Raw genomic sequence first — 13,618 nt, 5'->3', positions numbered from 1 at the left:
TGTCTGAAATGTTCCCCACCCTTTCCTTCTTTGAGCCTTCTTCTACTCGACCTTTATAACTGAGCTCAAATGACACCTCTTTCAGGAGTTGACCTCCTCAATGCTCCTGGAGCACTCTGGACTACCCTACATCATTGTCCTGTCCTGGCTGTTATTCTCATCTGCCCCCTTCCCTAAAGTACTGGGAGGAGGTTGAGGGAAAATAGGAGAGTACAGCTGATATAACTTGGCTTCTCTGGGTATCTGACACACAGATCAGGTACTCAGTAAATGTTTGTGGACTAACCGAATGAACCCACCAATTATCAGGAGAAGCCAAGCCAGGCCTCCCAGATAGAGAAAGAACTTCAGACAACTCAAGTGGAAACTAAGGCTCACTATTTTCACTTTAGCTACCTGGACTTCTTTCCCAATCTGGCATCCCCAGAAGGCCATGAGAACATCATGAAAGCTCAAGTACTATCCTGGAATTACAATCCACGGTAGGTTTGGTGGGGTTTTTCGGTTTTTTCATTTTAATTGGAAAGCCTTTGGTTCTCTGTAAATTCAGAGTTATTTCACATTGTTAACTTGGAAGGCAAAGTGACAGCCACCGTTCTGGAGTATTTCCCAGCGATCAGACAGCAAAACGGTTAAGAGCGTGAACTCTGAAGTCTGGGTTCAAATGTACCATTTGCCAACTGGGTAACTTTGGGTAAGTTACCCTACACTACTTCCCAATAGGACATATAAACTGGAGAGCCTCTGGCCATTCATTCATTCATAAATACCAACTGAGCATCTACTGTGAGTCCGGTGCTAGCGATATAGTGGAGACCCGGCCTTCCAATCTAAAGTACGCTTCCATGGAGTCAGACTGTTCCATTTCCTACACAGCACTTAGCACTATCTGCAATGATCTTGTGTGTTGGTTTGTCTGTCCTCGTCGGAAGGTAAGCTCTGTGAGAGCAGAGGCCTTATCTGTCTTGTGCATCCATCACCTCCCCAGAGCCTCCCACATCACTGGATACACGCAAAAAGAAAGAATGAGCATGTCAGACAAGAACTTTTACCTCGTGGCCCTGGTGAAGGTAGGAAAAAAAAAAAAAAAACAAAAGTAACAACATAGAAAACATAAAGGCACAAATTACAGAGGTAATAGTATCTGGGAGAAACCAGGGTCATGGCTTCCCATCGCCGCAGGTGTTGCTCCAGACAGCTCTGCGGAGAAAAAGGATCCCAGCACCGTGGCAGCCTCCTTGCACCGCAACCAGGAGACAGCATGAGGGACGCAGTGAAAGGAAAATGGGCCCAATCCCATCAGAAGTCCTGAGGAGGTTCATTTGTTGGTTCAACATGTTCATCTGTTGGTTCAACAGGTATTTATTTACTAGGCGTATAATGTGTGCTGGGTACACAGCAGCGAACTGACAAGAGCCTGTCCTCATGCAGTTTCCCTTCTAGTATTGAAACAGTGATTTTGGGTATGAAAAGTGCCGTGCTGACCACGAAACAGTGACGGAATAGGGAATGACAGCAGGTGTGCACGGTGGCTGGGTGGTCACAGCAGGCCTCTCTGAGCAGCTGACACCTCAACTAAGCCCTGAGGTCAACACTGTCACGGAGCAGGGGAAGAAACTTCTAGGCAAAGGCAGCGGCGGAGGCTCACACTAGAGAGGATCACAAACTGGTAAGTTACAAAGTGACAAGTGCCTCGAAGGCAAGTCCCAGGAGGCTGGGGGTCGGGGAGGAGGCGCAGGCCCCGGCTCCCGCACCAGCCCTCTCGGGTCCCGGCCACTCCGGGCAGTTCTGGGGAGCGCGGCGAGCGCCAAGGCCCGGCCCGGCCTCGCCGCCCCCCGCGACAGCGCCGTCGGGGTGGGGACGAGGGCCGACGTCACCCGCCGCGCCGGGCTCCGTCCTTCCAGCACTGGGGCGGAGGCCGCGGGCAGGAAGGTGGCGGCCTCTGGGGCTTACCTCGGAATTTGAGCTCGTGCTGCGGCTCGAGGCTCAGGACCTGCTCCACCTTCGCCATGTTCCTTAGCGGCGGAGCACCTTTGGCGGGGAGACCCCTGAGAGGTCACCGGGGCGGGAAGCGTTAATGCTGCGCCCGCTTTAAGTTTTACAAAAAGGCGGGGACCGGTCGGGGCACGGGCGGGGGTCCTCTACCGGGTGGGCGCGCTGGGGGGGGGTCGGTCTACGCGGTGCAGGCGCAGGGGCGGAGGGCGAGGGCGAGGCCGCGGTGCCCGGCGAGCTGACGGCACGCACGCACGCACGCACGCACGCAGAGTCGTACACACGCACGCACGCAGCAGGCTGGCCCGCTCTGGCGGCGGGAAGCTGCGCCCTGCGCCGCCGGCTCCAGGGGCGGGGACTAAAGCTGCGCGCGTAGAGCCCCTTCCGGGACAGTGCGCAGGCGCGGCACAAGCCACGGGGGCGGGACTGCGGGGCAGTAAGGGGCGGGGCTTCGGGCCGCTCAGGAGGCGGGGTCTGTAGTCCAGCTACGACAGCCACCGCGGAAACTATTAAGGGCCCGCTGGGGGCCAGCTTCGTGTTAAGTGCTTTATTCAATAATAACAATTAGAATAAACTTCCACTTTTCTCTTGCTTATGTAGTGCCAGGCACTGTTAGAGACTTTGAATAATAGTGAAAGTACTTAGTATAAGTATAATGTTTATGGGTGAGTGATATGGGCTAGGCACTGTGACGTCTTGTAAATAATAATTATAAATATAATAAACTACCAATTATTGCTTATTTATTTTGTATCACTCTACTGAATGCTTCCAATAACAACAGCAACTACAATAAATACAAGCTACTCTACGTTAAATGTTTACTATGCAACTGGCACTGTGCTGAATTCTTTACTAGTAAATTCTATTTGTTTATGCAACAAATATTTAGAAATACAATGATCAGAAAAGCGAACCTGATTCCAATCCTTTTACTATAGCCTAGTGAAGAGACATCTTTTGAATAAATAACCACACACGTAAGTTAAATAATTAAAAATTGCTGGAGAATCCAGATCTGCTTGACCTCAAAAGTGGATACTCTACATCATGATTACCGTTTAAATTGTATTTCATTATATTATGTTTACTATGGAAGTTAAATAGGTGTTCTTAATAGTCTCCTATACATACCCATATAGGTGAGACAAATGTGGCAAATTGCTAGCAATGGCTGACTCTACATCGCAGGTATATGGTTTTCTTGTACTGTTTCTCCCACTTTGCTGTATACTTGAAATTTTTCATGATAAAAAGGTTTTTTAAAAGAATAGTCTTTGTATTTTAACTGGAGCATTTAGTCCATTTACATTTATTATATTTACTGATATATCTGGAATTATTTCTACCATTGTATTTTGTTATTTCTATTTGTCCTGCCTGGTTTTTTTCCCCTTTCCTTTCTTCTTTAGGGTTTATTTTTATTCTCATTCTGATTTTCTTCACCTGTATACTCTATTTCTAAGTTTTAGTGGTTACTTCAAACTTTTGGGCATGCATACTTACCTTGTGAAAGTCCAATATCTTTAAATATTTGTAAAAATGTCTTTACCCTGTTTCCTTAAAATATAAAGACTTTGGAGTACTTTAATCACCCATCCTCTAAATTATACACCTTAATGTAGTGTATGTTAAGTTTAACCTTTGCCACTGTAACCCCAAGAGACATTACTAAATTGTTTTATTCAGTCAACATTAGTTTAGATTCAGCCACACAATTACCATTTTTATCCACCTTTTCTTCTTGCATCTCAGCTTTCACCAACAGGATCACTCTCCTTTTGCCTGAGGTAAATCCTTTAAATTTTATTTTTTTGTAGCTTCGTTGGTGCAAATCCTCTCAGTTTCTGCTCATCTGCAAATGGATTCATTTTTGCCTTTTGTTGTTTTTATTTTATTTATTTATTTATTTGGAGATGAGGTCTTGCTCTGTTGCCCATGCTGGAGTGCAGTGGCATGATCGTGGCTCACTGCAACCTGTATCTCCCAGGCTGAAACAATCCTCCCACCTCAGACTCCGGTGTAGCTGGGACTAAAAGCATGCACCACCACGCCCAGCTAATTTTTTTATTTTCTGTAAAATCTCACTATGTTGCCCAGGCTGGTTTCAAACTCCTGGGCTCAAGTGATCCTCCTGCTTCAGCCGCCAAAGTGCTAGGATTACAGGCATGAGCCACTGCGCCTGGCCTTGCCCTTGTTCTTGACAGATATTTTGGCTTGCTTGCTTGAATGACAGCTGTCCTCTCTCAGCACACTTGATTGCCATCCACTGTTTGCCTGTTCCCCCTCATTGCTCCTCAGGAGTCCAGTGACAATCTTAACATCGTTCCTTCATAGGTTGTTGGTCTTTTCTCCCTCTTCTCATGTTCTACAGTTTTACCATGCTGTATCTTTTTTTTTTTTTTTTTTTGAGACGGAGTCTCGCTCTGTCCCCCAGTCTGGAGTGCAGTGACGCCATCTCAGCTCACTGCAACCTCCGCCTCCCATGTTCAAGCGATTCTCCTGCCTCAGCCTCCTGAGTCGCTGGGATTACAGGCACGCACCACCATGCCCAGCTAATTTTTGTGTTTTCAGTAGAGACAGAGTTTTGCCATGTTGGCCAGATGGTCTCAAACTCCTGACCTCAGGTAATCCACCCACCTCGACCTCCCAAAAAGTTGGGATTACAGGCGTGAGCCACCATGCCCAGCTCATGCTGTTATCTTTTTATTTATCCTGCCTTGAGTTCTTTGGGCTTTCTGAATTTGATGATTGGTGTCTTTCATTATTCTTGAAAACTCTCAGACAATACTTTTTTTTTTTCAATTTAATTTTACTTTTTTATTGTGGTAAGATACACATCACATAAAATTTACTCTCTATCATTTTTAAGTATCCAGTGGTATTAACAAGATTCCTATTGTGGTGCGACCTCACCATCATCCATCTCTAGAGCTCCCTTCATCTTGCAAAACTAGAACTCTGTACCCCTTAAGCAATCATTCCCCATGCTCCCTCTCCTAAGCCCCTGGCAACCATCATTCCACATCCTGCCTCTGTGAATTTGACTAGTCTAGGTACTTTTTGTAAGCAGAATCATACAATACTTGTCGTTTTGTGACTGGCTTATTTTGCCCAGCATAAAGTCCCCAAAGTTCATCCGTGTTGTATCATACGTGACAATATCTCTGTTAAATGTTATCTTGGATGGACACAGTGGTTCATGCCTGTAGTCTCAGCAATTTAGGAGGTCAAGGCGGGCAGACTGCTTGAATCCAGGAGTTCAAGACCAGCTTGGGCAACATGGTAAAACCCCATCTCCACAAAAAATACAAAAAAAAAAAAAAAAAAATTAGCCACGCATGGTGGTGCATGCCTGTAATCCCAGTTACTCAGGAGGCTGAGGTGGGAGGACTTGAGCCCAGGAGGTGGAGGCTGCAGTGAACCATTATACCATTGCACTCCAGCCTGGGGTAACAGAGTGAGATCCTGTCTCAAAAAAAGAAGAAATAAAAATAAATGTTATCTCAACCTCGTTCTCTCACTCTTTACATCTTGTAGTGTGATTAGTAGTTATTCAACTAATATTTTTCAAACTGTAGGTTGTTTTCCAACAGTGGCTTATAAAATCAATGTAGTAGATTGTTACCAGTGTTGAGAAAGAACGAGAATATAATATATTGGAGTGTATTGTATTATTTCATGAATCTTTTGTTTCAGTTGTATTTATTAATATACACATATCTATGGAGTGAGTCACAACTAAAATACATTTATTACTGTGGATTGTGAAAGAAAAAGAGAAAAGTCTTGTGCCCTTCTCCATGTCTATTAACCTCTCTATCACATCTTAATCTGTCCTCTTTATGTTCCACGTTCTGGATAGTTCTTCAGATCTTTCTTCTAGTCACTAATTATCTCTTAGGCTATTGATAAACCTGTTTCAGGAGTTTTTCATTTTGTTTATTTTTTTTTAAGCCTATAAGTTCTATTTTGTTCTTTTACATATCCAAGTAGTTATAGGTTGTGTTTTTTCTTTTTTTTTAATTATTATTTGAGACAAGGTCTCCCTCTGTTGCCCAGGCTGGAGTTTAGTGGTGTAATGTTGGCTCACTGCAGCCTCTACCTCATGGGCTCAAGCCATCCTCCCACCTCAGCCTCCCGAGTAGCTGAAACTACAGGTAGGCACCACCACACCCGGCTAATGTTTGAAAGTTTTGTAGAGATGGGATTTCACCACATTACCCAGGCTGGTCTCGAGCTCCTGAGTTTATGCAATCCGCTCGTCTCAGCCTCCCAAAGTGCTGAGATTAATGGCATGAGCCACTGTGCCTGGCCACATTTATAGGTTTTTTAACACTGGTTCCCAGCTCCTCTGCCCTCCCCCAGGGAATGGTGCCATAACAAAGCTTTAGTGTTGGTCTCTTCTGCCGGGTCACTTTGGTAAGGGGAAGCCCATGTTCCTAAGCCCATACAGAGCCTCCACACCTGCCACCATGGCCACTGCATAAATAAGCTCATTGAGCACGCAATGGCACAGCTGTGGGAAAGACTGACTGTTGTCTGCAGAATGTGCCCTCTTGTCCACTCAATTAATAGAGTTGCTGCTGCAGTAGATGTCTTTGAGTGGGCATTCACATGAGACACCAGTGTCTTTTTTTTTTTAATTTAGAGGCGGAGTCTTGCTCTGTTGCCCAGGCTGGAGTGCAGTGGCACGAACTCGGCTCACTGCAACCTCCACCTCCTGGGTTCAAGCAATTCTCCTGCCTCAGCCTCCCAAGTAGCTGGGATTACAGACGCCCACCACCACGCCCGGCTATTTTTTGTATTTTTAGTAGAGACGGGGTTTTACCATGTTGGCCAGGATGGTCTCGAACTCCTGACCTCATGATTCACCCGCCTTGGCCTCCCAAAGTGCTGGGATTACAGGCATGAGCCACAGCGCTTGGCCGAGACACCAGTGTCTTCACACCCATCCTGAGAGGTATCTAGTACCTCCTCCCAGACCTCCTCACCACACATCCACATCTGCTCTCTCCGTCCCTGATCATCCATTACCCAGGGGCCCGTGCACCTCTGTGCTCTTGGTCATTTCTCAGCCACACAAAGTACACAGCCAAACACACTGCTTGAGATTCTGCTAAATGTGTGAATTCCATTTATGTTGTAATCCTGCAGCCCACCCAATTAAAGTTTGAGTATAATTTTCAGCAAGGTCAAAAATCTACAGCTAGGCCAGGTGCGATAGCTCACGCCTGTAATCCCAGCACTTGGGGAGGCTGAGGCGGGTGTATCACTTGAGGTCAGGGGTTTAGGACCAACCTGGCCAACATAGTGAAACCCCGTCTCTACTAGAAATACAAAAAATTAGCTGGGCGTAGTGGGAGCTGCCTGTAATCCCAGCTACTTGGGAGACTGAGGCAGGAGAACTGCTTGAATCCGGGAGGCGGAGGTTGCAGTAAGCCGAGATCATGCCATTGCACACCAGCCTGGGCAACAAGAGCAAAACTCCATCTCAAAAAAAAAAAAAAATCTACAACTACAAGAAATAAAGGATTATTTTAGGGCTCTGTAGAATCTCTCTGGTTCTCTGTGAGTTAAGCTGAGAGTTTAAAGATTGGAGCGTGTCCTTTACTTTCCATAATAGCTCCAGTGAACTCAGAAATAGCTATCTCACCCCATGGTCCTGAAGTCATCACTACCATGTAAGTGTGGCAGTCCCATGGCTCTCCATGCCCTTACTTCAGTGGGAACATTGTCACAATCAAATGATATTAGTAGTGATGTCAGTATGAGCCATTGATTACTTGTAATCACTGGTGTGTAATAAACTGGCTCTCTTGGGGAGAAATAATATCTGTAGTTTTTGCAGATTCCTTTTATTTCCTTTTCTTTGTTTTTTTGTTTGGTTGGTTGGTTGATTTCTTTTTTTTTTTTTTTTTTGAGACAGGGTCACACTCTGTCACCCAGGACAGAGTGCAGTGGTATGATCATAGCTCATCATAACCTCAAACTTCTGGCCTCAAGTGATCCTCCTGACTCAGCCTCCCAGCATGCTGGGATTACAGCTGTGAGCCACCATGCCCAGCCAGGTTTTGCAGATTTCTATGGTATAAACACTCCCACCATGACTGATTTTAGGCTGCCAATGGGATGTCACTGAACAGAGTTGAAAAGAGGTGTGTGTGACTGGCTCTCACCAGCTGGTATTCAGCACACCTGTGCTTGTATTCCATATTTCACAGGCACTGCAGTCAAGCATGAGGATGTGGCCAATCCAATCCCAGAATCCCTTCTTTGAGAGTCTGTTTCCTGGGACCACTCTTGGTACCAAGTGCTCTGTTAGTCAAGGTCCAGCCAGGAAAGCAGAAATTGCACCAGCTGTTTTAACAAAGATAATTTAGTATAAAGAACTGGTTAAACAGGTAATGGTGAACTGTCAAAGCCAAAAGAAGAAGACACTGAGGTATCACAAGGGTAGTAACGGCAGGAAGAAACTACCATTCCTAGGGTTAAGAGAACATAGGGAAGATGCTGGGGTTATGGGAACCCAGGAGCTCAGTGGGAGGGCTTCATGGAGGTGGCCACGGACTCCTGAGGAGGTATCACTGGCTGGCCAGGGCTGGGGCCTCTGAGGGGATACAATGAGGCTGCTTCTGGGAGTGCCAAAACCACGTGGAGACTGAACAACTACTGCTTTCGGATGAAAGGTCACTGCTGAAGCAACACTGTCAAGAACAGGAACAGGACAAGAAAGACTGGTCCCTTCTCCCCTCTTCCGATTTCAGGTCTTCCTTGAGTGCCTCTCCCAGTGGAGCCTGAGAGAAAACCCGCTGACTGAGGAGAAATGACATGTCCAGAGACTCAGCCCCAGTATGTCAGAGCAGGGTGTAGAGGGTTAATTTGGAGCTGAGAGACAACAGCTTCATAGCTACCAATCCCTTTTTTATTTCTTTAAACATAGTAGACATACTTATTTTTACAGTCTGTTCAGTGCCTGACATGTGTGCAGTTCTACTTTTATTGTTTCTGGGGGCTTTGGCTCAGTGCAGCCTGTTTCCTTGTGTGTTTTATTGTCTTTGACCTTATCTGTGAGAATCCCTGGAGGCCGAGCATTTCAATTACCTCCAAAACTTAGCGGCCCAAATATCAACAACCATTTAATTATTCTCACTCACACTTGTGGGGGTTGACTGGGCTCTGCTGGGTGGTTCACACGCAGAGCCTCTCATGTGGCTTTCGTAAAATAGCAGCTGGGTCTGTGCAGGGAGTTTAGGGCCAACTACAAAGTTAAAGGACATAGTTCCTAAATCACCCTCCCTCTGACACCAAACTACAAGTTTGTTGGTGTCTCCAAACCACTCTCCAGTTTGATAATTCATTGGAAGAACCCTCAGAACTCACTGAAAGCAAGTGTACTCATGGTTATGGTTTATTTATAGGGAATGTATACAGATCAAATCAGCCAAGGGAAGATGAGCATAGGGCAGAGGGCTCCAAATGTGGAGCTTCTGTCGCCCTCCCCCATGGAGTCAGGGTATGATATGGTTTGGCTCTGTGTCCCCACCCAAATCTCACCATGAATTGTGATAATCCCCAAGTGTCGTAGGAGGGACCCGGTGAGAGGTAACTGAATCACGGGGGCAGGTTTTTCCCTTCCTGTTCTCGTGATAGTGAGTAAGTCTCACGAGATCTTATGGTTTTACAAAGGGAAGTTTGCCTGCACAAATTCTCTTGCCTGCTGCCATGTAAGACATCCCTTTGTTCTTCCTTCATCTTCTGCCATGACTGTGAGACCTCCCCAGCCATGTAGAACTGTGTGTCCACTAAACCTCTTTCCTTTACAATTACCCTGTCTCGGGTATGTCTTTATTAGCAGTGTGAGAACAAACTAATACAGGATGTGTGACTCTTAGTGTGTAACAAAGTGCATGGAGTATTACCATAGAAGCTTGCCTGAACTTCAGTGTCCATAGTTTTTACTGAAGCTCTATTATGCAGGTATGATTGATTGATTGCCCACATGACTGATTTCAGTCTCCAGGTCAACTGATATCACATGATCCCAAGTCCCCACCCTGAGCCGCACTGTTGGTCTTTGGTAGCCAACCCCTTGCTATCTGGCCAGCCTCCACCCCCGATCACCTTGTTATGACTATCCAGTATGACACAAGCTACCAGGTGAACACTCCTATCAGTTAAAACATTCTGAGGACCCAGAGATTACTTCCCAAACACCATGACAAAGGCCAGATCTGTCTGGGTAAGGCCAAATTCTTCATTATCCAGTCTGGAATCATTGGAAGGCTTGCATGCTCACAGGTCTGGCCCCTGGCTGGAAGAGTTCAGCCAATGGGAACACCTGGGACTCTGTGGTCATTTCTCTATGACTTATATGTTTTGTCCCTGAGCTGTCTCTCCAGATCAAGGCTTCAGGTAACGGGACTTTTTACATAGCAGCTCAGGGCTTGCAAGCTAGTGTCAGAGAGAGAAAGAGAAAGAGAGAGAGTCCCAGATGGAGGCGTATCACCTTTTCTAACCTAGCCTCAGAAGTCATGTGGGATCACTTGCTCACTGCATTTTATCCTTTGAGGCAGTCAAGAGACCTGTACAGTTTGAAAGGGTGGGGATGGAAACTCTACCTCCTGGTGGGACATGGCAAGTTTCTAGGAGAGCACATCGTGTAGGAAATATTGTTCCAGCCGTCTGCAGAATATACAATCAGCCACACCTGGGCTGAAGGTGGCTCCTCCAGAAAGAATTTGCCTTTGCCTTGTCTTATTCCAGGTAGAAGTGGAGGGTGGGCACTGACCAGGGTAGCTTTCAGGTCTCAGTTTAAGATTTTCAGACCACCCAGGTAGTGTGAATTTGGGCTGCAAACCTTTGGGAAGCCTACCCTGTGCTCCTGATTCTTAGAATAATTGGCCATTTCCCCTCATTGAGTGCCTCCACCTGACACTTTTCCTCTGGGGCTGGGGGCAGTGTTTTGGGCTCATTGTACACTGAAGGATCCTGCTAGACTTCCCAACTTGGGTGGGCCCTGAGCTTTGTCTTTTGTCCTATAAAACCTAAAGTACTGAGAAAATTAAATCACTTGTTCACAGGCTTCCACAGTTCCCCAGGACAAAAAACAAAAAACAAACCAAAAAAAAAACCCGGCTTCGGGACTCAGCTTATCCCTAAGGGCTTAATCTTCCCTTCACTGTTTGGCTTCAGAACACTCCTTGTGCTGGCTCATCAATGCATTTGCAATATTTTATCCAGCATGTGAGTTGTTTTGATGGGAAGGGTCACTCAGCATGTCTAATCCTCCATATTGCCAGAAACAGAAGTCGCCGGAGTAAAGTTTTCATGTTAAAAACACTTTGTTGCACCCATGACCCAGATGTTAGTTTCTCATACCATTTCCCCAGAAATGGAAACCAGGACTTTTTGGAAATATGGATGATTCTTGGCCTGGGGTAGGGAATATTTGAGGTGAACTTGGAACCTCTTGTATAGGTAGAAAGTAAGGAAGTGCTCAAAAGATAAAATAATGATAACATGTCAAAGGGACACCAACTGGAAGAGCTCCCAATGGCTGAAGCTGTGACAATTTGAATAATAAAATAAATAAGATAGTATTGGATTATAACCCAAAGTAGAAAATAGGCCGAGTACAGTGGCTCACACCTGTAATCTCAACACTTTGAGAGGTCAAGGCGGGAGGATCGCTTGAGCCCAGAAGTTCAAAACCAGCCTGGGCAACATAACAAGACTTTGTCTCTACAAAAATAAATAAATAAACAAATCAAAGTAGAAAATAAATATCCTTGAGTCTATAATGACAAATAAATGATTGAATAATAAATACAGTAGAAGTGACACATCTCCCATACAGAAAAATTGTAAATAATTGATGTTAGAGATACTCCTCCCTCCAGGACGTGGAACATAACTTCCACCCCTTAACCGTGGGCTGTACTTAGCGGCTTTCTTCCAAAGACTACAGGATGGAAAGTCGGGGGAAAAGCAACTTTAACAGTGGGACTCTGGGAAGCCATTGGTAAGCCAGGTGATCAAGGTCAACATCGTTACTGATAAGTCCTGCTGATAGGAGGTACTCTTGATATGATGTGATATGAATGCATTTCACCTTTGCGGTCTTCACCCCCAAAGCCCACCCCAGTCAAGTCATAAGAAAAACATCAGAAAATCTTAAACTGAAGGACATTCTATAAAACACTGGCTAGTACTTCTCAAGGGCAAGGTCATAAAAAACAAGGGAAGTGTCAGAAGGTGTCACAGCTCAGAGGAGCCCAAGGAGGCATGACAAGTAAAGGTAAAGTGGTATCCAGAAGCAAAGAAAGGACATTAGAGGAAAAGCAAGAAAATCTGCATAAAATATGGAGTTAACAATAATGTATTCATCATATTAACAACGGTTCATTAGTCTTGACAAATGTACCACAGTAATGTATGTTAAGAATGGGGAAATTGGGTGTCGTGTATATGGAAAGTCTCTTTATTATCCTTGCAACTTTTCTGTAACTCCAAACATACTCTAAATAAACAACAAAAAAAATACTATTCTAAAATTAAACTTGTTTAACATTTTTAAAATTGAATTTCCAACCTCCTTCTGTAGGGGGCAAACTCTCAGGCACTCAGACCCTCTGATCAACCAGAACACACAATGCTGAACCGTGTTAAGGAAATGAGTGACTTTGTTGTCATCCTCTTCATCCCTTTTCCTCCTTTGGAAACACAGCCACCTCTGGCTGTCCAAGTCCCCCCATCCTTCATGGCCTCAGTCACTTACCCATCACTCACTTTTTTTCTTTAATGCATTCATTCATCCAGGTTTTTAATAAAATTGGCAATCAGATTTTAATGGAATTTATTTATTTACTTATAGTATTTATGTATTTAATTTGTTATTTATTTTTTGCATTTCCTCAGCATCTACTGTGTGAGCCTCCAGCACTGGACGCATTTAGCCTCACTGTCTGGCGGGGGGATGTTAAAGAAAAACAAAATCATCACAATCCGTGATAAACACGAAAATGGATGAGAAGAAAGCTATGAAGAGACAATTAACTTTACTCTAGAGACTGAGAGAAAACTTAGAACCTCAGAGGATGTTACAGAACAGTTTTGGAAAAAAAAAATCGTAAGAAAGATCTTGCCAGACAGAAAAAAAAGGAAGGGTTCTCCCAGCTGAGGAACAACAGCTGCAAAGGTTGGGGCTGCGGGGGCTTGCGCGGGGAAAGGCAAGGGGAATAACAATCACTCACATGGACTGAGCTGCTGTTCTCCTGTTCTGGGTCCAGCACCTTATTGGCATGTGTTTTAGTTTCCTATGGTTGCTGTAAAAAATGACCACAAACGAAGTGGGTGAAAACAACACATATTTATGATCTTACAGTTCTGGAGGTCGGATATCCGAAACTGGGTCCCATAAGGCTAAGATTAAGGTGATGGTAGGGCTGTGTTCTGTCTGGAGGCTCTAGGAAAAACCCATTCCTTGCCTTTTCCAGCTTCCAGAGGTCACACACAGTCCTTGGCTCATGGCCACTTCCCCCATCTTCAAATCCAGCAGTGTAGCATCTTTAGTGGTTTTTTTTTTTCTTTCTTTCTTTCTTTGAGACAGAATCTTGCTCTCTCA

The 13,618-nt window shown here is 45.1% G+C and overlaps 1 protein-coding gene across 4 annotated transcripts in view, besides 2 other annotated features; it reads right to left on the bottom strand.

Moving 5' to 3' along the window:
• The window catches only part of VAPB (VAMP associated protein B and C), a 61,873-nt gene extending 59,631 nt beyond the window's left edge, over positions 1 to 2,242 (bottom strand). For all 4 annotated transcript variants that reach the window (NR_036633.2, XR_001754433.3, NM_004738.5 and 1 more), the window contains exon 1: positions 1,954 to 2,242. Coding sequence is in view for 2 of the 4 variants with exons in the window: in NM_004738.5 (NP_004729.1) it covers positions 1,954 to 2,011 (58 nt within the window). In the remaining 2 variants the exon portion in view is untranslated. The remainder of the gene's footprint in view (positions 1 to 1,953) is intronic.
• Positions 1,714 to 1,833: a silencer, noted in NCBI's record as "silent region_13073". NCBI's record gives its function as "represses an Ori minimal core promoter by ATAC-STARR-seq in GM12878 lymphoblastoid cells {active_cell/tissue: GM12878}" and the evidence as "EXISTENCE:reporter gene assay evidence [ECO:0000049][PMID:35858748]".
• Positions 2,094 to 2,533: a silencer, noted in NCBI's record as "silent region_13072". NCBI's record gives its function as "represses an Ori minimal core promoter by ATAC-STARR-seq in GM12878 lymphoblastoid cells {active_cell/tissue: GM12878}" and the evidence as "EXISTENCE:reporter gene assay evidence [ECO:0000049][PMID:35858748]".

This window comes from Homo sapiens, chromosome 20 (genome assembly GCF_000001405.40).
Source record: "Homo sapiens chromosome 20, GRCh38.p14 Primary Assembly".
Taxonomy (NCBI): Eukaryota; Metazoa; Chordata; class Mammalia; order Primates; family Hominidae; genus Homo; species Homo sapiens.
The sequence above is the reverse complement of the archived record's forward strand: the minus strand, read 5'-3'. Positions and strand labels throughout refer to the sequence as shown.